The sequence below is a fragment of the Homo sapiens genome, chromosome 19 (genome assembly GCF_000001405.40).
Source record: "Homo sapiens chromosome 19, GRCh38.p14 Primary Assembly".
NCBI lineage: Eukaryota > Metazoa > Chordata > Mammalia > Primates > Hominidae > Homo > Homo sapiens.
The window spans coordinates 14521290-14548668 of record NC_000019.10 but is presented as its reverse complement, the minus strand read 5'-3'; the positions used below and the strand labels follow the sequence as shown (position 1 = coordinate 14548668).

General features: G+C 50.2%; 2 protein-coding genes and 1 non-coding gene across 13 annotated transcripts in view, besides 3 other annotated features; 1 reads left to right on the top strand and 2 right to left on the bottom strand.

Moving 5' to 3' along the window:
- Positions 1-20943, bottom strand: part of TECR (trans-2,3-enoyl-CoA reductase) — a 38255-nt gene extending 17312 nt beyond the window's left edge. For 3 of the 7 annotated variants that reach the window (NR_038104.2, NR_038103.2, NM_138501.6), the window contains exon 1: positions 18958-19075. Coding sequence is in view for 4 of the 7 variants with exons in the window: in NM_138501.6 (NP_612510.1) it covers positions 18958-18972 (15 nt within the window). In the remaining 3 variants the exon portion in view is untranslated. Of the gene's footprint in view, positions 1-3488; positions 3556-18957; positions 19110-20816 lie in introns of those variants that run through there. The other 4 variants (XM_006722945.3, NM_001321170.1, XM_047439737.1 and 1 more) reach the window with 2 other exon arrangements.
- Positions 1-27379, top strand: part of DNAJB1 (DnaJ heat shock protein family (Hsp40) member B1) — a 45623-nt gene that overhangs the window by 11723 nt on the left and 6521 nt on the right. The window contains exons 1-2 of one of the 5 annotated variants that reach the window (XM_006722733.3): positions 19398-19447; positions 20859-20982. The gene's annotated coding sequence lies outside the window, so the exon portion shown is untranslated. Of the gene's footprint in view, positions 1-19397; positions 19545-20858; positions 20983-27379 lie in introns of those variants that run through there. The other 4 variants (NM_001313964.2, XM_011527956.4, XM_047438746.1 and 1 more) reach the window with 4 other exon arrangements.
- Positions 18324-18383: an enhancer, noted in NCBI's record as "active region_14172". NCBI's record gives its function as "activates an Ori minimal core promoter by ATAC-STARR-seq in GM12878 lymphoblastoid cells {active_cell/tissue: GM12878}" and the evidence as "EXISTENCE:reporter gene assay evidence [ECO:0000049][PMID:35858748]".
- Positions 18747-19331: an enhancer, noted in NCBI's record as "H3K27ac hESC enhancer chr19:14640150-14640734 (GRCh37/hg19 assembly coordinates)". NCBI's record gives its function as "activates a minimal SCP1, AML or CMV promoter by ChIP-STARR-seq in naive H9 embryonic stem cells {active_cell/tissue: H9 hESC(naive)}" and the evidence as "EXISTENCE:reporter gene assay evidence [ECO:0000049][PMID:30033119]".
- Positions 18984-19273: a silencer, noted in NCBI's record as "silent region_10258". NCBI's record gives its function as "represses an Ori minimal core promoter by ATAC-STARR-seq in GM12878 lymphoblastoid cells {active_cell/tissue: GM12878}" and the evidence as "EXISTENCE:reporter gene assay evidence [ECO:0000049][PMID:35858748]".
- Positions 19029-19126, bottom strand: MIR639 (microRNA 639). Its single transcript, NR_030369.1, has one exon. It is a non-coding gene; the product is annotated as a microRNA 639 (primary transcript).

Below are 27379 nucleotides of genomic sequence, written 5' to 3'. Positions count from 1 at the left end.
GAAGCGGAGGTTGCAGTGAGTCGAGATCGCACCACCGCACTCCAGCCTGGGCGACAGTGCAAAACTCCGTCTCTAAAAGAAAAAAAAGAGACGACAGAGATGAGCAGTGCTGCAGAGACCCTTAGGCAAAGCCTAAGATCTTTGCTAGCTGGATTAAGTTTGCCAACCCCTGGCTTAGGCCTGGTAACGGCAGTGAGGCTGATGAGAAGTGGTTAAATTCTAGAATGCTGAGCTAAGGGATGTGCTGACATTTGGACATGAGGCATGAGAGAAAGAGCAGAGTCAAACAGCTTAGGGCCTGGGTAACAAACAGGCCGGAACTGCCACCAAGGGGGTGGGGAAATGCAGGTTCAAGAGGAAAAATCAGAAGCTCCATTTTGGACATGTAAAGTTTGAAATGCCCATTAGGCCCAGGCACAGTGGCTCACACCTGTAATCCCAGCACTTTGGGAGGCCGAGGGGGCGGATCATGAAGTCAGGAGATCGACACGATCCTGGCTAACACGGTGAAACCCCATCTCTACAAAAAATACAAAAAATTAGCTGGGCATGGTGGTGGGCGCCTGTAGTCCCAGCTACTTGGGAGGCTGAGGCAGAAGAATCGCTTGACCCAGGAGGCAGAGGTGGCAGTGAACTGAGATCACACCACTGCACTCCAGCCTGGGTGACAGAGCGAGACTCCGTCTCAAAAAAAAAAAAAAAAAAGAAATGCCCATTAAACACACACATGGTTGGGAGGCCAAGGCAGGAGGATCCCTCGAGGCCCAGAGTCCAAGACCCAAGACCCAAGACCAACCTGGGCAACATCGCAAGACCCCATTTCTACCAAAAAAAAACAAAAGTAGCCGGCTGTAGGTGGTATGCACCTGTAGTCCTAGCATAATCAGGAAGCTAAGGCAAGAGTATCACTTAAGCCCAGGAGGCCCAAGCTGCAGTGAACTATAATAGCACCATTGCACTCCAACCTGGGTGACAGAATGAGACCCTGACTCAAAAAAAAAAAAAAATATTAGGTACAGTGGCTCACACCTGTAATCCCAGAACTTTGGGAGGCCAAGGCAGGTGGATTACCTGAGGTCAGGAGTTTGAGACCATCCTAGCTAACATGGTGAAAACTCATCTCGACTGAAAATACAAAAAATTAGCCAGGTGTGGTGGCACATGCCTGTAGTCCCAGCTACTCTGGAGACTGAGGCACGAGAATCACTTGAACTTGGGAGGCAGAGGTTGCAGTGAGCAGAGTTCATGCCACTGCACTCCAGCCTGGGCAACAGACTGAGACTCTGTCTCAAAAAACATAAAATAAAATAAAATAAAATAAAATAGGCCAGGTACGGTGGCTCACGCCTGTAACTAATATTTTTACCCAAGCTTTAAGAGTTGCAAAAGATGTCATTTCTGGCCTACTGTCGGTATTAAAAATTTTACATAAACATTTACAGGACTCTGTTAAATCTATCTAGAGTCTAAATGCTTCAGTAATTTGAAACCTACCATTATCCCTTTAAAAAAAAATAAGAGGCTATGAATAAGCTCTTTAACATTGGCTCTCTTTTTGCTTTGACGTTGGTTTCTGTTTCCCTCCTTCATAGGATCTTATTATAATACATGTTTATGACTGAAGGTTAGCACTGATTACCCTATCATGTTGATCAAATTGAAATTTAATTTTTAGGCTGGGTGCAGTGGCTCATGCCTGTAATCCCAGCACTTTGGGAGGCCAAGGCGGGCAGATCAGATCACTTGAGGTCAGGAGTTTGAGACCAGCCTGGCCAACATAGTGAAACCCTGTTTCTACTAAAAATACTAAAGTTAGCTGGGCGTAGTGGTGTGCACCTGTAGTCCCAGCTACCTGGGAGGCTAAGGTGGGAGAATGGCTTGAACCCGCCCTCAGAGGTGGAGGTTGCAGCAAGCCAAGATCGCGACACGGCACTCCAGCCAGGGCAACAGAGCAAGACTCCGTCTTAAAAAAAGAAAAGAAAAAATAATGTTTAAGAAATATTTCAGTGACCAAAGGTTCTAAGCATAGAAAGAAAAATCCAGGCTAGACACGGTAGTGCATGCAGCCAGGCCAAGATAGTGAGAGCCCTGTTTCTGTAATAAATAAATAAAAAGAAAATTTCTGCAGGAGGTTGCTCACTACAACCTCTGCCTCCCGGGTTCAAGCAATTCTCCTGCCTCAGCCTCGCAAGTAGCCAGGATTACAGACACGTGCCACTGCACCTGGTTAATTTTTGTATTTTTAGTAGAAGAGGGGTTTCAGCATGTTGACCAGGCTGGTCTTGAACTCCTGACCTCAAGTGATCCGCCCACCTCAGCCTTCCAAAGTGCTGAAATTACAGGTGTGAGCCACTACACCTGGCCTAGGGTGGAGTTTTCTCAGAGCAAAAAAAAAAATCCCAAATCTAGAATTCCTTCTGAGTTAGATGCCCAAAAACTTTCAGTGTGATCTATGATCGGAAATGTCTGTAATGATTTCCCAGCTGAGTAGCCCCCAGCGCCGCCCCCATGATTTTTCTGAAAGCAGATTTGTGACCACCCCAGGTGCAGAAGGACTTGGTCCCCAGGGACGAGCTAGCATGGATCACTTCCTCACCTTCCAGGCAGGTCCCCCAAGAGTCAGTGGCATGGCGGGCGTGACCCAGCCAGGAAGGGAGATCAGGGTCCCAACTCCTAGTCCAGCCATGTCCTGGGGGCTCTATGTGGCCCAGAGGAGCTCTGATCAGGCCTTGGATGGAATACTGAGCCACTCAGCTCTGCCTGAGGGAGGCTGCGGTTACCTGCTGCGTTGTGACCCATTTCCGATGCTCCTCGGGGACAGCAGGAAGAAGCCAGGGAACCCACACAGCCCTTTCCCAAGCCGCAGCCCTTTCCCAAGCACAGCAGGGATGTACTTGTCACACGGAGACCTACAAAGGGCTCAACCGTGTGCAGGGGTGTCTGTCACTCCCAAAAACCTTTTCTGCTAACTGTGCAGTTTGCACTCGCCATGCACGCAACCAACACGGACTGTGCCCCTTGCTGCGTCGGGCCTGCCTGTGCCAGCTGCTGGGCTCAGTGATGAATGGCAGTCAGGCGGGTGTAACAAGAGCGTGCGGGCAGCGATCCAAGGGCCGGGATATGACAGTGCGCACGACTGAGAGAGGCTATCCCCCCCACCCCCTAGGCTTGCTGGTGCTCAAGGGGACATGAACAAAGCACCTATTACATAATACGGGGTCACGATGTACCAGGAGCTGTGGAGAGGAGACAGCGGTGCAGAGGGCCCAGAGGGCCACAGTGGGTGTGCCCGGGAGGACCCTGCTGAGGAAATGGGATTTCAGCTGAGGGCCAGCATGAGGCTCCCTGGCGGGGAATGCAAAGGCCCTGGGGTAGCACAGAGCTTTGGGGAAGCGGGTGACACCCGGAGGCTGGAACAGAGTAAATTTTAGGGGGAGCAGCTAAGCAGCAGGCTGGAGCAGAGCCAAGACAAGTGCTTTAGGTTTTACCCTTGAGCAATGAGGAATCGCTGGAATGCCACAGGCTGCTTTGGTTTCTTGAAGAATCATCTCTCTGCTGGGGACAGAGGAACAGTAAGGGAGCAAATGTGGCTTCAGAGACAGTGGTGAGAGGCTTAGAAACAACTCAGGGCAGAGACTCAGGTGCTTGGACCAGGGAGGGAACAGAGAAGGGAAGGAGTGAAAAGGACACCGCAGTTCCTAGATTCTGATGTGTCAATGGTTCAAAACAAGCCACGTGCTGGGCATGGTGGCTCTTGTCTGTAATCCCAGCACTTTGGGAAACAGAGGCAGGAGGATCACTGGAGCCCATGAGTTCAAGACCAGCTTAGGCAACACAGCAAGACCCCATCTCTACAGAAAATTTTCAAATTAGCCGGGCGTGATGGCATGCACCTGTGGTCTCAGCTACTTGGGAGGCCGGGGCACAAGAATCCCTTGAACCCAGGAGTTGGAGTTGCAGGGAGCCGTGATCGTGCCACTGCACTCCAGCATGGGCGACAGAGTGAGACCCTGTCTCAAAAAAAAAAAAAAAAGGAATGGCCAAACACCGCAGCAGCAAAAGATGAGCCCGGTTCATGGAAGAGCAGAACCCTCTGCTACTATCACCAAGGATATGCTATAAGCTCAGGACCCGCACTCAAAGCCAGACCTGCCAGTCCCATAGAATGGCCGCACACCCCGAGATCATGCAAGCATCCTCGTCCTGATCAGTTGCAGTGACTTTTGAGGGCAGGCATCAATTATGCGGCTGAACGGCTGAGCCTGTCCTGTGTGCTCCGTAAGACAGTGGCCTCTATCAAACATACACATACTCGTTCCACAAGTATCCAGAGACCCTCCCCAGGGCCAGGGGTTACAGGGGAGAGCCAGGGGCTTACACAAACATGCCTTATCAGAAGGTGCCAAGTGCTGTGTGGAGAACTCAAACATGAGGTGACAAGGTGATGAGTGTGGCCTGGGTGAGTCAGGGGCAGAGGCTTCTCGGAGGTATTTTGTCACATTCAGACCAAGACCACACAGCCAGCCTCTCCAGAAACCATCCCCACACCAGTATTTGGATAGGGATTCTCCAGCTCTGTCCTCTGTGGATCCCCCACCCCTGGCTGGGAGATTTTGTTAAACTATTCTCCAGGCCCGGCACGTTGGCTCACACCTGTAATCCTAGCACTTTGGGAGGCTGAGGCGGGAGGATCATTTGAGGTCAGGAGTTCGAGACCTGCCTGGCCAACATGGTGAAACCCTGTCTCTACTAAAAATACAAAAATAAGCCAGGTGTGGGGTGGTGCATGCCTGTAATCCCAGCTACTCAGGAGGCAGAGGCAGAATTGCTTGAACCTGGGAGGCAGAGGTTGCAATGAGCTGCGATCATACCACTGCACTCCAGCCTGGGCAACAAAGGGAGACTCTGTCTCAATTTAAAAATATATATATAGCCGGGCGCGGTGGCTCACGCCTGTAATCCCAGCACTTTGGGAGGCCGAGGCGGGAGGATCACGAGGTCAGGAGATCGAGACCATCCTGGCTAACACGGTGAAACCCCGTCTCTACTAAAAATACAAAAAATTAGCCGGGCGTGGTAGCGGGCGCCTGTAGTCCCAGCTACTCGGGAGGCTGAGGCAGGAGAATGGCGTGAACCCGGGAGACGGAGCTTGCAGTGAGCCTAGATCGCGCCACTGCACTCCAGCCTGGGCGACAGAGCGAGACTCCGTCTCAAAAAAAAAAAAAAAAAAAAAAAAAAAAAAAAAAAAATATATATATATATATATATATATATATATATTCTCTGAAACAAGTAGTATACAGGCAATACACTGTTTCCAACTATACATGTCTCCTCAGGAATTCCAGTATCTGCACACACACACACCCCCACCCCACCCTCTGCAATCCTCCAACCCCACCCAGCTCCTGAGAAACATTCATTCAGCAGCTCCACCCATCTGCCCACCTCCTGAGTTAGACACTTGAGGTGTCTGGGGAAACAGCTTCTCCCCACAAGGAGCCTGGAGGCTCAGCTCCGTGACTTCAGCCTGTTTCCAGATGTTTCCTGAAGCCCCAGGGCTTGTGTTAACTTCCCACCCCCACCCCCAACTTGGCACCCCACCCTGAGGACAAGCCCAGATCCCACGCTCTGGCCAGTGATCCCTGTTCACTTTCAAATGGAAAAAAAAAAAAAAAAGAATTTGGAAGGACCCAGGAGACTGCATAAAGCCCTGCATTCTCTCAGGCAGTCTGTGAATGGCTGGTGGGCTCTGCTTACGTAAGAGCCTGATTCGAGCAGGGACAGAGGCAGGGCCATGCCAGCCTGTCACTGTGACACAGCTACAGGGCCACAGAGAGGGCCTTTACACCTTGCAGGGCTGGGAAACACTCATGACCCACATGCAGCTAACCATGTAACTGGGGTGAGTCGCTCTGCTCCCAGTAAGCCCCACACGCAATCCACGGTACACTTCTCAGAATAAGGAACAAATGCTCTGTGCATTTTTATTACAAACACCATGGTGGGCAGGTGCAGTGCCTCAATGCCTCTAATCCCAACACTTTGGGAGGCCAAAGCGTGTAGATCACCTGAGGTCAGGAGTTCGAGACCACCCTAGCCAATATAGTAAAACAACATTTCTACTAAAAATAAAAAAATTAGCCGGGAGTGGTGGTGGATGCCTGTAATCCCAGCTACTCAGGAGGCTGAGGCAGGAGAATTGATTGAACCCGGGAGGCGGAGGTTGCAGTGAGCCGAGATTGCACCACTGCACTCCAGACTGGGCCACAAAAGCGAAACTCCATCTCAGAAAAAAAAAAAAAAAAAAAAAAAAAAAAACACTATGGCATGAGGGCCCCCTGAGGACTTAAAAATGAACTGCCCTCCAATAGGGAATCTTTTAGGTAAAATCAGTAGAATGTGGTCGGGCATGGTGTCTCACACCTGTAATCCCTGCACTTTGGGAGGTCAAGGCAGGAGGATCACTTGAGCCCAAGAGTTGGAGACCAGCCTGGGCAATATAGCAAGACCCCATCTCTACTAAAAACAATAATTCATAGGTAATTGAATAAAACAGAAAAGGGACTTTCATTGCCATCAAAATGAGGCAGGGCAGTGGCTCACGCCTGTAATCCCAGCATTCTGGAAGGCCGAGGTGGGCGGATCACTTGAGGTCAGGAGTTCGAAACCAGCCTGGCCAACATGTGAAACCCGGTCTACTACACATACAAAAAATACGCCAGGCGTGGTGGCACGTTAGCTGGTAATCCCAGCCAATCGGGAGGCTGAGGCAGGAGAATCGCTTGAACCCAGGAGGCGAAGGTTGCAGTGACCCAAGATTGTGCCATTGCACTCCAGCCTTGGTGACAAGAGTGAAACTCCATCTCAAAAAAAAAAAAAAAATGAAAAGAAGTCCACAGGTCTCTCTGGGTGGCTACAAAGCCCTGCCCTGTCAGCCTCATCCCTCAACGTGGGACATATGCAAACTCTGGGCTCCATGCCTCTGCACACACCACTCGGTTCCCTCTGCCTAGAACACCATTCTCCTCCCTGGCCCCAAAGACCTCGACCTTCAGGCCTTGGCTTAAATGAAAAGATCTTGAGGACAGAGAATGTGGTTCGTTCATCCCACGATTCTTAGCATTGATAAGAGGGAAAAAACATGTTGGAACAAATGAACTAATGAATAAGTGATGGACTGGAAAACAGAGGCAGGGTCCTATGACGGGAAAAGGCCTGGACCAGCAGGACCTGCCCACAACCTGTGCGGTGAGTGCCCAGTGTTGTCTCGGCAGCTTCCATCTCAGAAGGGCCGCTGTGCCAGGAGGGTTGAGATGATGGGGAACAGGACAGCCACGGGCAGGATGGACCCAGGGCTTGTGGCCAAGAGGCCAGAAGAAGCCAGTTGCCAGCCAGGCACGGTGGCATACACCTAGAATCCCAGAGCTTTGGGAGGCTGAGGCAGGAGATCACTTGAACCAAGGAGTTCAAGACCAGCCTGGGCAACACGGTGAGACTGCGTCTCTACCAAGAAAAATCCTTTAAAAATTAGCCAGGCACTGGCCGGGAACAGTGGCTCACACCTGTAATCCCAGCACTTCGGGAGGCCAAGTTGGGCAGATCACTTGAGCTCAGGAGTTCGAGATCAGCCTGGCCCACATGGTGAAACCCTGTCTCTACTAAAAATACCAAAATTAGCAGCGTGTGGCCTGTAGTCCCAGTTACTCCGGAGCCTGAGGCAAAAGAATGGCTTGAAACCGGAAAGCGGAAGTTGCAGTGAATCGAGATCACTCTACTGCACTCCAGCCTGGGCAAGAGCAAAACTCCAACTCAAACAAACAAACAAACAAAAAAAAGCAGCCAGACATAGTGATACACACCTGCAGTCCCAGCTACTTGGGAGGCCGAGGCCGGCAGATCACTTAAGATCAAGAGTTCGAGGCCATCCTGGCCAACATGGTGAAACCTTGCCTCTACTAAAAATACAAAAATTATGGCCAGGCACGGTGGCTCATGCCTGTAATCCCAGCACTTTGGGAGGCCCAGGCAGGTGGATCACTTGTGGTCAGGAGTTCAAGACCAGCCTGGCCAACACAATGAAACCCTGTCTGTACTAAAAATACAAAAATTAGTGGGGTGTGGTGGTGGGCACCAGTAATCCCAGCTACTCGGGAGGCTGAGGCAGGAGAATGCTTGAATCCCAGACGCAGAGGTTGCAGAGAGCCAAGATCGCACCACTGCACTCCAGTCTAGGTGACAGAGCACGACTCTGCCTCAAAAACACACATTTTTTAATAAATAAATAAAAATACAAAAATTAGCCAGGCACAGTGGCTCACGCCTGTAATCCCAACACTTTGGGAGGCTGAGGAGGGTGGATCACGAGGTCAGGAGATCGAGACCATCCTGGCTGACACAGTGAAACCCTGTCTCTAGTAAAAATAAAAAATAAAAAATAAATTAGCCAGGCGTGGTGGTGGGTGCCTGTACTCCCAGCTACTCGGGAGGCTGAGGCAGGAGAATGGCGTGAACCTGGGAGGTGGAGCTTGCAGTGAGCCGAGATCATGCCACTGCACTCCAGCCTGGGCGACAGAGCGAGACTCCGTCTCAAAAAAAAAAAAAATTAAATAAATTCAAAAATTAGCCAGGCATGGTGGCGGGTACCTGTAATCCCAGCTACTCAGGAGGCTGAGGCAGGAGAATCACTTGAACCCGGGAGGTGGAGGTTGCAGTGAGCCAAAATCCCACCACTGCACTCCAGCCTGGGCAACAGGGCAGGACTCCGTCTCAGAAAAAAAAAAAAAAAGAAAGAAAACACAACCCAAGCCCAGATGGGCTGCGAAGGAGATGAGTGGGGTGCCAGGGTGACAGGCAAGGGGTTGGACTTTAGATTGGATGGCCAAGGAAGGTCTCTCTGGGGGACATGGAAGCTGAGCGCTCGGTAACACGAAGGGCCAGGCATGAGGAAAGCAGAGGGAAGGGCATCCAGGGCCGAGGGAATAGCATGTGCTTAGGGCAGGAACGTGGTTTTGGGTATCTGTGAAAGACAGTAGCATAGTAACAACTGAGGAAAGCAGGGGACAGATGACAAGCCTCTGAGGGAAGGTTCTGAGCCATGGCACACTAAGATCCTCCCACTTACAGGCAAAAAGGCCTTCTGCCTGTGGCTCGGTGGGGAACAGTCAGCTAGGAGGGAGCAGGAACAGAAGCAGTGTGCTCCTAGGTGAGGCAGCTGTGACAGGCACCTGGTGGCCAGACTGTCTTCTAGCCTCCACTTCCTGGGATGATTCTTTGTCACAACAGGTTAAAAAGTGGGCTCTGAGTGTGGTGTGACTTCCCCAAGGGTCTTCCCATGAAGAAGGAAAGAGCTGATCATCTCAAAATGTGACTTGCAGCCAGGTGTGGTGGCTCACGCCTGTAATCCCAGTACTTTGGGAGGCCGAGGCAGGTGGATCACGAAGTCAGGAGATCGAGACCATCCTGGCTAACACGGTAAAACTTCGTCTCTACTAAAAATACAAAAAAAAAAAAAAAAAAAAAAAAAAATTAGCCGGGCGTGGTGGTGGGCGCCTGTAGTCCCAGCTACTCAGGAGGCTGAGGCAGGAGAATCGCATGAACCCGGGAGGCGGAGATTGCAGTGAGCCGAGATGGAGCCACTGAACTCCAGCCTGGGTGACGGAGCGAGACTCTGTCTCAAAAAAAAAAAAAAATGTGACTTGCATGGTGTGTGACATTATATCAAAACTGAGGCACTGGCATCTGGGCTTCTTCCTCCACCTTCTGGGCATATGATTTGACATCAGTCTGTCTCCTGGCGCCTGGTGGACCTTCTTCATTAAGTTTTGAAGCTTTTCTCAGCCAGGCGTGGTGGCTCATGCCTATAATCCCAGCACTTTGGGAGGCTGAGGCGGGTGGATCACGAGGTCAGGAGTTCAAGACCAGCCTGGCCAAGATGCTGAAACCCCGTCTCTACTAAAAATACAAAAATTAGCCAGGCATGGTGGCACGTGCCTGTAATCCCAGCTACTCGGGAGGCTGAGGCAGGACAATCACTTGAACCCAGGAGGCAGAGGTTGCAGTGAGCCAAGATTACGCCACTGCACTCCAGCCTGGTGACAGAGGAAGACTCTATCTCAAAAAAAAAAAAAAAGAAAAAAAAGAGTTTTGAGGCCTTCCAAAGAGGTCAGGTGCCAAAAGCATCTCAGGCAGCCCTGGGGATGCTGATCTGTCCTTACCTGCCTAACGTGGGTCCCTCTCCGCTTAAGGATTTTTACCCTGCCTGTGGGCCGCGAAGCATGCTGAGCACTTCACACTCCCCCACAGGCCCCCAGGTGTCGTTATCCTGGCCTCACAGGGTGACAAAACTGAAGCTTAGGTTAAGTCACTGTCCCAAGGACAGAGTGGGTGGCCTCCAAGTCCTTCACCACCACCACACACTTGATTCTTTCCCCAGTGCACGACCCACAGCAAAGCCCACTCTGGTTCTAGAAGAATCCCAGCTCTGCTAGCCACTAGCTGTGGACAAGTCGCTTCACTTTCTGTGCCTCAGTTTCTCCATCAGTCAAGTAGAGATAAGAACAGCATCTACGTCTTATGTTTAGTACACGATTTAGATATGTTACTAGATAAGAAGCACTCACACTGCCGGCGCAGTGGCTCACGCCTGTAATCCCAACACTTTGGGAGGCCAAGTTGGGCGGATCACCTGAGGTCAAGAGTTTCAGACCAGCCTGGCCAACATGGTGAAACCCCATCTCTACTAAAAATACAAAAACTAGCCAAGTGTGGTGGTGGGCACCTGTAATCCCAGCTACTCGGGAGACTAAGGCAGGAGAATCGCCTGAACCCGGGAGGCGGAGGTGCAGCGAGCCGAGATCACGCCATTGCACCCCAGCCTAGGGGACAAGAGCGAGACTTCGTCTCAAAAAAAAAAAAAAAAAAACACTGATAATTAAGCACTATATTCACCGTAATTTACTAGGAAGATTACTATATTCTGGCTGCCGCAGGAAATGTCCCAGGTATTAAAACATTCTCAGCTGCCACTATCAGTATCAGCAAGAAGGTGTTAAGACCCAGCCTGAACTTGACCAACTAGCTCAAGGTCTCTGGCCTTTCTCACGCAGCCAGGCTTGTCAATGAAAGTGCAGGATTCCCGACCAAACCCAACCACCTTATCAGAGTCGCAAGGCCTTTCCAAGCACCGCCCTCACTCAAGGCTGTCAACCCTCCTCTGTTCTCAGGAACCAGTTAGTCCAGAAGGCTTTGCTGGGCCCAGCTGGTGGAGCCTCTAAATCCACCTGGGTGCGGCTGAAACAGCTACTCCACCTGGCACACACCAAAGCCCACCACTCATCCCGTCCCACCTTCTTGTTACTCGGTCCCGCCTCCCCCTCCCTGGTCCCGCCTCCCCCTCCCTGGTCCCGCCTCCCCCATCCAGGCCCGCCGCTTCCTTCTTGCCCCGCCTCCTCCTCCTGAGCCCCACCTCCTCCCCCTCGGCCTCCCCTTCCCCCCCGGCCCCGCCTCTTCTTTCTCAGCCCTACCTCCTCATCCTCAGGAACCACCTCCTCCACCTCAGCCCTGCCCCCTCCTCCTCCTCAGGACATGCCTTTTCCTGCTAAACTCTGCCTCCTACTCCTTGGGACCCGCCTCCCCCTCCTCGACACCCCTCCCCGTCCTCAAGCCCCACCTCCTCCTCCTCGGCCCCGCCCCCTCCTCGGCCCCTCCTCCCCACATCTGCCCCGTGTCCAGAGGTCCAGAGGTGAGTAGGGCCGTACTACTTGTCAAATGTTAGCTGCTGCAAGGTGCTGCACCAAGCTGAGGCTTTCCAGGTATGTATCTGCTCATACGATGCTCACCAGACCAAGAAACCCTTGAAACGATAACCCTGGGAGGCAGGGACAATTATCCCAGTCAATATGAACATTGGGCAGGAGAGAGGAAGGGGCCTCAGCTGTAGCATTTGCCACTTTCCGTGATGTAAATACCCTACCTGTGACTTAGAGATGTCAGCCTGATATCCCTGAACACAGAGTTGGGAAGATGCACACCATCAGCCAATGTCAGCCGGGTCTCGCACACCCAGGTGTCATTTTATGGATTAAAAAGCTAGTTCAAGGCCAGCCGCTGTGGCTCACGCCTGTAATCCCAACACTCTGGGAGGCCAAGGTGGGAGAATCACTTAAGGTCAGGAGTTCAAGACCAGCCTGGCCAATATGGTGAAACCCCATCTCTACTAAAAATACAAAAATTAGCCGGGCGTGGTGGTGGGCGCCTGTAATCCCAGCTACTCAGGAGGCTGAGGCAGGAGAATCGCTTGAACCCAGGAGGCAGAGGTTGCAGTGAGCCTAGATGGCACCACTGCACTCCAGCCTGGGCAACAGAGGGGGACTCTGTCTCACGAAAAAAAAAAAAAAAAACTAGCTCGAGAAACTAAAGACCTTGCCCGTGGGCTCCAAACCTTGTCAGTGGCAGTTAAGCATATGAGCCTAGCACTGATCCAAAGCCCGTAAGCATTGCCACCTTCCCAGGAAGAGTATCAATCAATACTGCCCAACCCAAAGGGGAACTGGCCTGCAGCCCTGGAAAAGGCCTTGTTCTCTGGGTCTCAGGTCCCTCATCTGTAACTTTACAGAAGTTAAACCAGAAAAATTATCTCAAGCCTGGGGCTCTGAGATTCTGAGTGCCTACAGCAAAGAAATGGCCTAAGTACAAAGCTACAGCCAGGACAGAAGGGACTCCACCAGGAGAATCTGCCCAGTGAGTCACCATCTGCTCAAAGCAAGAAGCCTGCAGGAAAATCTGAAAAGCCTAAGATCCCCTCCAACCCCCTCAGGATCTTGGCCTGAGTCAGGCTAACATAGGAAAGGTCTTTATAGCTCACCACAGCTCAAGGCTCACCACTTTCCCTTTTTTTTTTTTTTTTTTTTTGAGACAGAGTCTCACTCTGTTGCCCAGGACCGGAATGCAGTGGTGCGATCTCAGCTCGTCCGCGACCTCCACCTCCCAGGTTCAAACGAATTCTCCTGCCTCAGTCTCTCGAGTACCTGGGATTACAGGAGTGCACCATGATGCCTGGCTAATTTATATATACATACATATATATATATATATATATATATATATATATATATATATATATATTTTTTTTTTTTTTTTTTTTTTTTTTTTTTTTTTTTTTGAGACGGAGTCTCGCTCTGTCGCCCAGGCTGGAGTGCAGTGGCGCGATCTCGGCTCACTGCAAGCTCCGCCTCCCGGGTCAAGCCATTCTCCTGCCTCAGCCTCCCAAGTAGCTGGGACTACAGGTACCCACCACCACACTCAGCTAACTTTTTCTATTTTTTAGTAGAGACGGGGTTTCACTGTGTTAGCCAGGATGGTCTCGATCTCCTGGCCTCGTGATTCACCCACCTCGGCCTCCCAAAGTGCTGGGATTACAGGCATGAGCCACTGCACCCGGCCAATTTTTATATTTTTAGTGGAGAGGGGGTTTCGCCATGTTGGCCAGGCTAGTCTTGAACTCCTGACCTCAGGTGATCCTCCTGCCTCAGCCTCCCAACGTGCTGGGATTACAGGCATGAACCACTGCACCCAGGCAAGGCTCATCACTCTCAATCCTGCCCTTACTGCAAGGGGCAGCCCATCCGATTTTAGGGCAGAGAAAGACCCTCTCCCAGCAGTCCACACTGACCCGCAGCACCTCGCCCTCCCTTCAGGGATGCTCTGTCCTCAGAACACAGCAGGAGAGCCACCAGCTGTCCTAGGGCAGCATCAGCAGAGAAGCCATCAGTGTGGACAAAACTGGAGTCTGACAAACCCAGGTTCAGCTCCCTGGCTTCCAGGCTCTGTGACCTTGACCAGCTTAGTTTACCTCTCTGAGCTTCAGTTGCATTATCTGTAAAGTAGAACAGTAGTTCCCATCTGATCAGGTGCTAATAAGACTCACCCCTGGGCAAGGTGCGGTGGCTCACACCTATAATCCCAGCACTTTGGGATGCCAAGGCAGGAGGATCGCTTGAGCCCAGGAGTTCGAGACCAGCCTGGACTAACATGGTGAAACCCCATCTCTACTAAAACTACAGAAATTAGCCGGGCATGGTGGCACCCACCTGTAATAACAGCTACTTGGGAGGCTGAGGCAGGAAAATCGCTTGAACCGGGGAGGTGGAGGTTGCAGTGAGGTGAGATCACATCACTGCACTCCAGCCTGGGTGACAGAGCGAGACTCTGTCACAAAAAAAAAAAAAAAAAAAAAAAAAAAAAAGGCCAGGCATGGTGGCTCACTCCTGTAATCCCAGCACCCTGGGAGGCCGAGGCGGGCGGATCATAAGGTCAGGAGATCGAGACCATCCTGGCTAACACGGTGAAACCTCATCTCTACTAAAAATACAAAAAATTAGCCAGGCATGGTGGCAGGCACCTGTAGTTCCAGCTACTCGGGAGGCTGAGGCAGGAGAATGGCGTGAACCCGGGAGGCGGAGCTTACAGTGAGCCAAGATGGAGCCACTGCACTCCAGCCTGGGCGAGAGTGCGAGACTCTGTGTAAAAAAAAAAAAAGAAAGAAAACACCCTAAATGTGGGTTATGGGGGACCCCAAGAGGCTCGCTTCTGGGTATTCAGCTGCGGGAAATGGGCAGTGACCTGGACTGCTGGAGGCTGAAGACAGACTGATTTTCTCAGGAATTAACAGGCTCAATTACAAGATGTAGTAGCTGTTTTTCCAGTTGCTGCTGGGCTCATTGCTTTGAGTCTCATCTGCAGTGGCAAAAACAGCAATAAAATAAAAAAATACATTAAAAAAATACTGTATCCTAGGATAAGCAGTTCGCTTACCGACCTAGCTCTGACCCCAAGACAATGCTAAGGCCTGCTCTGGTATTCTAAGAAGACGGCTTCAGCCAAGGCCTGGAGGTGACCCGTTCTAGAGAGAGGCTTCACCTCAATTAGGCCACAGAGTGGAAAACTTTTCCTCTCAGATCAGATGAGATTTGGCAGTGATATGAGGCTACTATGGAAACAGCCACCGATCTCCACTACTGCTGGGATCCCAACTGCCATGATAACAGTCCTCAACCAGACATTAATTTGTTGCGTGACAGTCAGCACGTCCTGCACCCCTCTGGGCATTACCTCTATCAGTTGTAAACTGCACTTCATAATCTCCAAGGTCTCTCCAGGGGCCAACCTTTCAGTGGACAACAGACTGCTTGAGGGTGGGAAGATGGATTTAGTCCCAAGCAGAAATAGATTTTTTTCTTTTTTTTTTTGAGACAGAGTCTCGTTCTTGTCACCCAGGCTGGAGTGCAGTGGTGCGATCTCAGCTCACTGCAACCTCCACCTCCCAGGTTGAAGTGATTCTCCTGCCTCAGCCTCCCAAGTACCTGGGATTTCAGGCGTGCGCCACCACACCCAGCTAATTTTTTATTTTTTGTAGAGACGGAGTTTCATCATGTTGGCCAGGCTGGTCTCAAACTCCTGACCTCACATGATTTGCCCACCTTGGTGTCCCAAAGTGCTGGGATTACAGGCATGAGCCACTGTGCCCAGCTGAAATATATCCTTTATTTATTTTTTTTAAAACAGAGTCTCGCTCTGTCACCCAGGCTGGAGTACAGTGGCGTGATCTCAGCTCATGGCAACTCCGCCTCCCAGCTTCAAGTGATTCTCATTCCTCAGCCTCGAAGCCAGTAGCTGGGACTACAAGCACGTGCCACCATACCCAGCTAATTTTTTTGTTTTTAGTAGAGACGAGGTTTCACCATGTTGACCAGGCTGGTCTCGAACTCCTGACTTCAAGTGATTCACCCGTCTCAGCCTCCCAAAGTGCTGGGATTACAGGCATGAGCCACCTCGCCCGGCCAGAAATATATTCTTTGATGTAGACAAACCTTTTCTCAAATTGCTTGTTAAGTGTGAGTGAAAGCATCCTTTCTATTTTTACTGACCTACAATACACACATGCAGTTAAACTAATCTGCTTGCTATGCAATCCGCTGGGCCGGGAAACAACTGCTTCTCCCACCCAGAAGCCCTGTAGCTATCGCCTCTATGGGTACTTGGCAAAGGTTGGCAGAGAATAACAAACAACACAGCAAAATAACAATTTATTTTTTCCTTCAAGGTCACTTTGAACAGTGAGTTTGAAGCTTCCCTTTTTTTTTTTTTTTTTTTTTTTGAGACAGACTCTCGCTCTGTCATCCAGGCTGGAGTACAGTGGCATGATCTCAGCTCACTGCAACCTCTGCCTCCAAGTAGCTGAGATTACAGGCGTGTGCCACAACACTCGGCTCACTTTTGTATTTTTAGTAGAGACAAGGTTTCTCCATGTTAGCCAGGCTGGTCTTGAACTCCTCACCTCAAGCGATCCGGCCACCTCAGCCTACCAAAGTGCTGGGATTACAGGCGTGAGCCACCATGCCTGGCCAAAGCTCCCCCTTCTTTCTGGGAGAGAAAAGGATTAAGTACGGTGGAGCATATTCTCCAGTCCAAGTCTTGGGCCTCAGGCTGTGCCCAGCTTCCTGGAACAAAAGCACGCACCCCCAGGGTGCTCAGAGGCCTACTTTATCTGACTGTTAACTAGCAAAACTAAACCAACTACATTTGCAAAATGCCATATGGATGTTCCAAACTGCATGTTTCAAGCTGGACATGGTAGCTTTTTTTTTTTTTTTTTTTTTTCTTCAAACAGGGTCTCTGTTGCCCAGGCTGGAGTGCAGTGGCCTGATTTTTGGGCTCACTGCAGCCTCAACCTCCTGGGCTCAAGCCATCCTCCTGCTTCAGCCTCCCGAGTAGCTGAGACTACAGTAGTGGGACTACAGGTTTAGATATAGAGTTTGAGAGGGGAATCCACATCAGAACTTCATTCTAGAATGAAAACTTAAATGACAGAGATTATTGAATACAAACCTCCTCATTCTTGATACCATGTCAAAAATTACAGGATTTGTGGGTTAAAGGCTTCTAAGGGGCTAGGCACCGTGGCTCATGCCTGTAATCCCAGCACTCTGGGAGGCCAAGGTGGGTGGATCACCTGAGGTCGGGAGTTCGAGACCAGCCTGACCAACATGGAGAAACCCTGTCTCTACTAAAAATACAAAATTAGCCGGGCATGGTGGCTCATGACTGTAATTCCGGCTACTCAGGAGGCTGGGGCAGGAGAATCACTTGAACCCGGGAGGTGGAGGTTGCGGTGAGCCAAGATCACGCCATTGCACTCCAGCGTACTCAACAAGAGCGAAACTCCGTCTCAAAAAAAGGCTTCAAAGGATTGTGGGTAAATTTCCAAAAATAGTAGCAATAAAGGGGGCAGGAGGCAGAGGTAGTAATATTCAACTTGTCAATAAAAACAAACAGCCGGGCGCACTAGCTCACACCTGTAATCCCAGTACTTTGGGAGGCCGAGGAGGGCAAATCACTTGAGGTCAAGAGTTTGAGGCCAGCCTGGTCAACATGGTGAAACCCCCATCTCTACTAAAAATACAAAAAATTAGCCGGGCATGGTGGCGGTCACCTGTAATCCCAGCTATTCAGGAGGCTGAGGCAGGAGAATCGCTTAAACCCAGGAGGCGGAGTTTGCAGTAGGCCGAGATCGCGCCATTGCACTCCAGCCCGGGCAATAAGACCGAAACTCTGTCTCCAAAAGAAAAAAAAAATCCTTCTACGTATCCAAGGTACCTAGAGTAGTCAATTCATTAAGACGGAATGGTGGCTGAGTAGAATGGTGGCTGCCAGAGGTGGAGGTGGAGAGGAATGGGGAGTTAGTATTTAACGTCTACAGCTTCTGTTTTCCAAGATGCAAAGAGTTCTGGAGATGGGTGGTGGTGATGGTTGCACAACAATGTGAATGTTCTTAATGCCACTGAACTGCACACTTAAAAATAGTCAAGATGGTAAATTTTATGTGTATTTTGCCAGAATTTTTTAAATTGGAGGGGAAGTGAGAAACAAGAAATCGCTCGACCTGCTATTTTTCATTTGAGGACCAGCATGGCATAGTGGCTAGGAACTAAGACCTTGGCGTCCTGAGTTCCCCTATCTGTTTTGCATTTACTAACTAGGGGCCTTTGAACAAGTCACTTTATATCTCTGAGACTTTATTCATCCTTACAAACAGGAATAATAATAGTTCTTATACAAGGTAACAGAATCTCACCAGCACAAGAGTAAGCACTTGCTAAATTGTTATTTTGAATTTTAATAACAAATTTTATTATTTGATGATAGTTACTTAAAAGTCAGCAATAATTCAGGGATAATTGGTTGAATTATTAATATTATATTATCACCTAGGGCGATAAGCACATCAGAAGACTTCGTTTTAAGGGAAAAAGAGACCCAAGTTAGGAGTCAGAAGACTTGGGCTTCAAGAGTGGCTGTGGGTGGGTATAAGATTTCTCCTTGGTGACACCCAAGGGTTGACGTAGATGACCTCTTTGATAACCAGAAAGCAAGATCAGCTTCGCTGCTCTGCGAAAGCCAGCCGTGGAGCTGCACCTCCCTCACCGCCTAAGTCTCCCGGGAACGTCCCGGGCGAGGGAAGGGGTCCAAAGGTCGTACACAAGAATACTGATAGCAAAGCCCCTTCCTACGCTGGTGACGGCGGCGTGGCGCAAGATTTGTGCAAGACTCCCTCGGATTGGGAGCAAGGGTCCCGCACCTTCGTGGCTCCCATGACAAAGTCTGCAACTCAGCCCGCTGGGGGAGCTGCAAGGAACCTGCAAGCGTCCCAGCCCCTGCAGAGACCCCCAAGAAAAAGTACCCCCAAAACAGCCTGGGTTGCAGATTTATAAATACTTCCTGCGCACATGCGCATTGGAATTTACGAGTGGCCCGGGGCGCAACGCTTGCCCACTGCGCCTGCGCCGTCTGGCTCTTCCTTCGGGGCACAGGACCAGAAAGTGGGGTCCCGTGGTCCCGCAAAGAAGGAAAAAGAATGGGTCAGCAGTGGCCACACGGCCCCTGTTTCTCGCTTCTTACCTCGTAATGCTTCATGGCTCCCTCCCACGGCGGCTACTGCTCCGCGGCTGCTGCTGCCTAACTGCGCGGCACAGCACAGGCTCCCTACAGCGCTCGCAACCGCAGCGATAGACTAAACGCGGCTCTGCGTCCGCCCCGCCCCTCCAGGCCGCGCGCGCCCCGTCGGCCAATCAGGGCACGAGGCGCCCACGTTCGCCCCTGCTCCTTGGGGCCGGTCCGAACCAAGACTAGGACTAGCACCAGGGGATTGACCAATCAACTTGCGAGACCAATCGAAGGGGGCGGAACGCCTGTAGGAGGGGCTAAAGAGAAGGGGCTTGACCATCCACCAATCCAAAGGAGGTCTCTGCCCCGCGCGTCCCTTTGCCACGCCCCCTGATGGCGTCGCTGTGGAAACCAAGGTAAGCGACGGTTAGGCCAGACGCGGGGGCGGGGTAAGAAGTTGAGTGACAGGCAAGGCAGCATCCACATGACAGGCGGCGCCGAAGGGGTAAATTCTGAGGTGGGCGGCCCCCGGGGTACACCGGGAACAGCAGGAGAGGGCTAGGGGCTGGGGTCGCGGGCTGCGGAGTCTGGTTGGCGAGGAGGTCACTATGGGAGGAGACTCTTGAGTGGGAGGGAAGGAAAGGCGAAACGGAGTCGCGAAAAGCTCCCCATTTGGGAACCCCCAACCTGCAAGAACCTTGAGCCCCAGCCCCATTCTGGGGTGGCTTCACTGCCGTTTTTAATGAAAGCCCCGCCCCACTTTGTTTTTCTGTTTTGTTTTGTTTTTGAAACAATCTCGTTCTGTCCCCCAGCTGGAGTGCAGTGGCGCAATGACGGCTCACGCAACCTCCGCCTCCCGGGTTCAAGCGATTCTCATGCCTCAGCCTCCCAAGTAGATGAGATTACAGGCACCCGCCACCACGCCCGACTAATTTTTGTATTTTTTTTAGTAGAGACGGGGTTTCCCCATGGTTGGCCAGGCTGGTCTTGAACTCCTGACCTCAGGTGATCCTCCCGCCTCAGCCTCCCAAAGTGCTAGGATTACAGGCCTGAGCCACCCCGCCCGGCCCCCCTCCACACTTTGCTCCGCCCTATGGACAGGGGAACTACATTGGTCTCTGCCTGACGTCCAGAATCGTGTCTAGTGGCTCCAATGGGGCCACTGAGCCCTTGAAATGGGGCTGGTCCAGGCCGGGAACGATGGCTCACACCTGTAATCCTAGCACCTTGGGAGGCCGAGGGGGGCAGATCACGAGGTGAGGAGTTCGAGACCAGCCTGGCAGATATGGTGAAACCTCATCGCTACTAAAAATACAAAAATTAGCCGGGCGTGGTGGTACACACCTGTAGTCCCAGCTAATCAGGAGGCTGAGGCAGAAGAATTGCTTGAACCCGGGAGGCGGAGGTTGCAGTGAGCCAAGATCTCGCCACTACACTCCAGCCTGAGCAACAGACCGTCTCAAAAAAAAAAAAAGAAAAAAGAAAAAGAAATGGGACTGGTCCAAATTGAGATGTGCTGTAAATGAAAAACACATAAATTTCTGGCCAGGCACGGTGGCTCACACCTGTAATCCCAGCACTTCGGGAGGCCAAGACAGGCAGATCACATGAGGTCAGGAATTCAAGACCAGCCTGGACAACGTGGTGAAACCCTGTCTCTACTAAAAATACAAAAATTAGCCAGGTGTAATGGTGGGCACCTGTAATCCCAGCTACTAGGGAGGCTGAGAATCGCTTGAACCCGGGAGGTGGAGGTTGCAGTGAGCCAAGATCGCACCACTGCACTCCAGCCTGGGCGACAGAGTGAGATTCTGTCTCAAAAAAAAAAGAAAAAAAAAGAAAAGACTTTTGACAGACAAAGGAACAGGCAGTACCTGGCACACTTCTTCACCTCCTCTCCTTACTCTTGTTTCCAGATCCTGCCCCTGAGCTTTCATGAGCTGTTGAACCATCTGGAATTCACAGGCCTGTCATGAGAGACACGATGAGAAGTCCTTAAAGGTAGATCACTGATTCACAGGGGAGCAGGCGGAGGCAAGGGTGAGTCAGTGCTTGGAACTCAGTCATCCAGATTTGGCTCTGGAAACTTCTGAAGCTGTAGCCTTTGGGGATCCCTGACTGCGAGTACAGGAAGCCAACGCTATGTGGTCTTCTGGAAACTCATTATCTTTTTCACTGGTGCTATCTGGGAAAAACAGATGAAAACCTGAAGGTGTTCTGTATGTGTGCTTTCAAAAGCAAGGATCTGGCCGGACGCAGTGGCTCAGGCCTGTAATCCCAGCACTTTGGGAGGCCGAGGCAGGAGGATCACCTGAGGTCAGGAGTTTGAGACCAGCTTGGCCAACATGGCGAAACCATCTCTACTAAAAGTACAAAAATTATCTGGGTGTGGTGGTGGGCACCTGTAATCACAGCTACTCAAGTAGCTGAGGCAGAAGAATCAGTTGAACCCAGGAGGCAGAGGTTGCAGTGAGCAGAGATCACACCACTGCACTCCAGCCTGGGTGACAAGAATGAAACTCCGTCTCAAAAAAAAAAAAAAAAAAAAAAAAAAAAAAAAAGCAGAGATATTTTTCTGGTGGCAGTTTGAGTTTTGAGGCCTTCTGTGTCATGACAGGCCTCACTCCCTGCCCTTCTTGGGTGCTGGGGGAGAGTATTTGCTTCCAGGCCACAAGTTAATTTTTTAGTAGAGATGGGATCTCATTATGTTGCCCAGGCTGCTCTGGAACTCCTGGCCTCAAGTGATCCTCCCTCCTCGGCCTCCCAAAGCGCTGGGATTACAGGCATGAGCCATCCCACTCGGCCTGAGACCACAGTTAAAATCCTATCAGATTGAGTTACCTGAGGTACTTGATTGTGAGGGGCCATGGGGATAGGGTTGAAACCCTAAGACCCATCCATGTGTTGCTCCTTCACCAGTTATGCAAATTTTCAACTTATTTAATGTGATCTGAAGAGGTGAGTCTTCCATCTCTGGGTTGCAGTTAGATAGGGCATGATGGTGTACAAGTAGGTGTCATTTTGAAGAGATTCCATACATATTCCCATAAACTCAGAACGTTTTGGAAATTCCCTTTTGAGACTGCTTTTCTGAGCCCCACACTTACTCAACAGGCACCAAATCATCCTCATGCACCTACTATGCTGCGTGTCAACCGGAACATACAAATAATTTCCACCCCCTCCTCACCCATAAGAAGCTGGCAGAAAGGCAAGATCCAGCCTCCAAAGTAGAATTCCTCTTTGTTTTTGAGGGGTGTTGCAGGCTTGAGGAACCCCTTGTTTGCCCATCTGGCTTCCGGTAACCAGGCTGTCAGCAGAAATGAAACCCACCCTTGGAATGAAGACTGGCCACTTTGTTCAAGCCACTGAGGACACTGTACTGTGGCCCCCTGACAGTGCCTGTCTGTAGGGACAGCTAGATCCTGCTGGTCCCTTCACAGTCCCAGCAGTGGCTGATTCACAATGGTGACTGGTAGATCTGTTGGGTCGTTGTTGAGCTGATGGTAACTAGCTCCTTTATTAAAGTAATTTCCAAGGGAGAAACTGCAAGAGACGGCCTAAGCTGCGGCAGCTTCCAAGGATGAGCTTTTCTGGACCTCAGGTTTGGGGGGAACCCGAGACCATTTGAATGCCAGAGATGTGATGTGTTTGGTAATGTCGTGTCTCACAAGCTCCTTTTGTATTTCCCATGGGCAGATCAGGTCGGATCTTGACTTTTTCCAGAACCTGGCTTGGCTGGTTTGGGTTGTGTATGAATGAGCTGGCTCGCTGGGTGTGTGAGGGGAGGTGAAGCTGGGACTAGACAAGCCAGGGCTCGTTAGCAAGTTTCTGCTGTGTCAGGAATCCCAGAGAGAGGTTTCCCAAGCCCTATCCTGTCTTGCCTGGGTTGTTTGGTTTTTCTCCTTCTTTTTTTTTTTTTCATTGAAGTGTAATTGACATGTAGTAAAATTCACCCATTTTAGTGTACAGCTCTGAACACATACGGTCATGCAACCACCACTACAATCAAGATACAGAGCATTTACACCAACCCAAAAAATTCTCCAAACTACTCCATTTGTTGCAGGTCCCAGCCCCTGGCAAGCATTCATCTGCTTTCTGTCCTGATACTTTTGCCTTTTCCAGAAGGTTGAGTGAAATGGAATCATGCAGCCTTTTGAGCCTGGCTTCTTTCACCCACATAATGCATATGAGGTTCATCTGTAATGTTGTTTTTTTGTATCCGTAGCTCATTCCTTTTTATAGCTGAATAGTATTCCATTGTGTGGATGGATCCCATTTGTTTATCCATTCATCCATTGAAGGACAGTTAGGGTTTAACTGCTGTTGGTAATAACTAATAAAGCCTCAGCAAACATTCGCTCATGAGACTCCATCTCAAAAAAAAAAACAAAAAAAGTAGATTTTACCCTGCTGGTGTTGCTATGTTGATGAAATTGAGAGGAGCCAGGAAATGAACATTATAATAGTATCTTTTTTATTTTTATTTTTGAGATGGAGTCTCGCTCTGTCACCCAGGCTGGAGTGCAGTGGCGCAATCTCGGCTCACTGCAACCTCCACCTTCTGGGTTCAAGCGATTCTCCTGCATCAGCCTCCCGAATAGCTGGGTTACAGGTGTGCACCACCATGCCCAGCTAATTTTTGTGTTTTTAGTACAGACGGAATTTCACCATGTTGGTCAGGATGGTCTCCATCTCTTGACCTTGTGATCCTCCCGCCTCGGCCTCCCAAAGTGCTGGGATTACAGGCATGAGCCACCGCACCCAGCCATGAATTTTTATATATGAACAAAGGTTTTCATTTCACATGGGTATCCCACTGGGAGTGGGATTGTTGGCTCATATGGCTATAGCGCTTTTTGAAGGTCTTTTTTTTTTGAGAACGAGTCTCGCTCTGTTGTCCAGGCTGGAGTGCAGTGGCACCATCTCGGCTCATTGCAACCTCCACCTCCTAGGTTCAAGTGATTCTCCTGCCTCAGCCTCCCAAATAGCTGGGATTACAGGTGCACGCCACCATGCCTGACTAATTTTTGCATTTTTAATAGAGATGGGGTTTCACCATGTTGGCCAGGCTGGTCTCGAACTCCTGACTTCAAGGGATCCACCTGCCTCAGCCTCCCAAAGTGCTGAGATTACAGGCATGAGCCACCGCACCCAGCCTTGAAGATCTTTTCCAAATTTATTTGGATTTTTATTTATTTTTGAGACAGGGTCTCACTGTCTCTCAGGCTAGTGTGCAGTGGCACACTCATAGCTCACTGCAGCTTGGAATTCCTGAGCTCAAGTGATCCTCCCACCTCAGCCTCCCAAGTAGCTGGCACGTGCCACCATGCCCAGCTTATTTCTTTGTCATTCTTTGCAGATATGGGGTCTCACTATGTGGGCCAGGCTGATCTGGAACTCCTGGGCTCAAGTGATCCTCCTGCCTTGGCCTCCAAAAGTGCTGGGATTACAGATGTGAGCCACCGCACCTGGCCTGAAGGTCTTTTTTTCAACAGGTGAAGAGCTGAAGACAGGAGTAATGCAATTTTCTTAAAATTAAGGCTTTATGATCATCTGAGTCACATTATACACAAGCTGAGTGTCTACTGTAAGCACTCAGTATGCTAAACACTTCAGCATTTTACTCTCTGGGTGACCCTGGGGAAGTCACATGACCTCTCAGAATCTCCATCTCCCCACCTGTAAAATGGGTGTAATGATAGCCCAACCTCATAGGGCTGTTGTGACAAGTATATGAGTTAATATTCATCGAGTACTTGGAACAGGCTTGGCCATGTCAGTGTTAGATGTTATTATAGGCCAGACATGGTGGCTTATGCCTGTAATCCCAACACTTGGGGAGGCCAAGGCCGGCGGATCACCTGAGCTCAGGTGTTCGAGACCAACCTGAGCAACATGGCAAAACCCCATCTCTACCAAAACCATAATACAAAAAATTAGCCGGGCATGGTGGCAGGCACCTGTGATCCCAACTACTCAGGAGGCTGGGGCAGGAGGATCATTTGAACCTGGGAGGTGGAGGTTGCAGTGAGCCAAGATTGTGCCACTGTGCTCCAGCATGGGTGACAGTGTGAGACCCCATCTCAAAAAAAAAAAAAAACAAAAACAAGGCCGGGTGTAGGGTTCAACCCTTGTAATCCCAGCACTTTGGGAGGCCAAGGTGGGTGGATCATGAGATCAGGAGTTCGAGATTAGCCTGGCCAACATGGTGAAACCCAGTCTCTACTAAAAATACAAAAATTAGCCAGGTGTGGTGGTAGGCACCTATAATCCCAGCTACTCAGGAGGCTGAGGCAGAGAATCGCTTGAACCCAGGAGGCGGAAGTTGCAGTGAGCTGAGATCACACCACTGCACTCCAGCCTGGGTGACAGAGTGAGACTCCATCTCAAAAATAAAAATAAAAATGTTATTATAATGTTCATTTCCTGTTCACTTCCTGTTCATTTCCTCTCAATTTCATCCACATAGCAACACCAGCAGCGTAAAATCTACTCTTTTCTTTTCTTTTCTTTTCGAGACAGAGTCTGGCTCTGTTGCCCAGGCTGGAGTACAGTGGCGTGATCTTGGCTCACTGCAACCTCCACCTCCCAGGTTCAAGCGATTCTCCTGCCTCAGCCTCCCGAGTAGCTGGGAGTATGGGCACATGCCACCATGCCCAGCTAATTTTTGTGTTTTTAGTAGAGACACCACGTTGGACAGGCTGGTCTCAAACTCCTGACCTCAAGTGATCCACCCGCCTCAGCTTCCCAAAGTGCTGGGATTACAGGCATGAGCCACCGCACCCGGCCTAATCTACTCTTATCTCCAATTTATGGAGGACAGACCTAATGCTCCCAGAGATCAAGCAGGCTGTGGAAGATCACACACGTAGGAAATAAGGAAACAGTTGGTCCAGGATTTGAACTAAAGCAACTGTCCTCAGACTCACTTGCATAGTTCCTGTATCAGTCAGGATTTTACCAAAGACACAGAGCCAGAGCCAGTAGGAGTGTGTGTGTGTGTGTGTGTGTGTGTGTGTGTGTGTGTGTGTGTGTGTCTGTGTGTGTGTCTGTGTTTGTGTGCAGAGATTTATTTCAAGGAATTGGCTTACATGCTTGTGGGGGCTGGCTAGACAACACCAAAATCTGCTGGGTGGGCTAGCAGGCTGGAAACTTAGGCAGGAGCTGATGCTTTTTCTGCCGGGAAACCTCAGTGTTTGCTTTCAGTGTTGGCTTTTTTTTTTTTTTTTTTTTCTTCGAGACAGAGTCTTGCTCTGTCACCAGGCTGGAGTGCAGCGGCCTGATCTTGGCTCACTGCAACCTCTGCCTCCTGGGTTCAAGTAATTCTCCTGCCTCAGCCTCCCAAAGTGCTGGGATTACAGGCGTGACCCACCACACCCGGCCTCAGTGTTGGCTTTTTAAAGTCTCTAGACTGATTGGATGAGGCCCGCTTACATCCTCACATCCTTGAGGGTCATGTCCTGTTTTTAAAGTCAAGCAACTGTAGACGTGCTAACCTAACCGCATCAACATAATAACTTCACAGCAACACCTAGATTAGTGTTTAGTTGAATAACTAGGTTCTAGAGCTTAGCCACGCTGACACAACAAACAACTATAACAGCTTTTCCAAGTTAAGAGCCCAATATCTGCTGAAGTTGACGCAGAGGCCATTTTTTCAGTAATATTCTGAAGTTCTCAGTGAGTGTTCAGGTCACAGTACCATGTCCATTAGGAGAGAGTTACTGGGTTTGTTTGTTTGTTTAATTTCCTGGCTCCTAGAACTGATTAAAAAAAAAAAAATTAAAACTTCCCGAACTGGCTGGGCGTGGTGGCTCACGCCTGTAATCCCAGCACCTTGGGAGATCAAGGCGTGTTGATCACCTGAGGTCAGGAGTTCAAGACCAGCCTGGCCAACATGGTGAAACCCCATCTCTACTAAAACTACAAAAATTAGCCAGGCATGGTCGCAAGCACCTGTAGTCCTAGCTACTTGGGAGGCTAAGGCAGGAGAATCACTTGAACCCAGGAGGCGGAGGTTGCAGTGAGCTGAGATCGTGCCACTGCACTCCAGCCTGGGCTACAAGAGTGAAACTCCATCTCAAAACAAACAAACAAAACTTCCTGAACATGACCCAGGCTTACTCAAGGAGGGGAGAGTTCCCAGCTCTAACACTGACCCCAAGCACAAAGACATCCCTTCCGCAGTGTTTTTAGCAAAATGTTCCCCTCCAGTGTGTCAAGAAACTTTTATTATTATTATTATTATTATTATTATTATTATTTTGAAACTCTCACTCTGTCACCCAGTCTGGAGCACAGTGGCACGATCTTGGCTCACTGCAACCTCTGCCTCTCGGGTTGAAGCGAGTCTCATGCCTCAGCCTCCAGCGTAGCTGGGATTACAGGCACCTGCCACCGCACCCGACTAATTTTTGTATTTTTAGTAGAG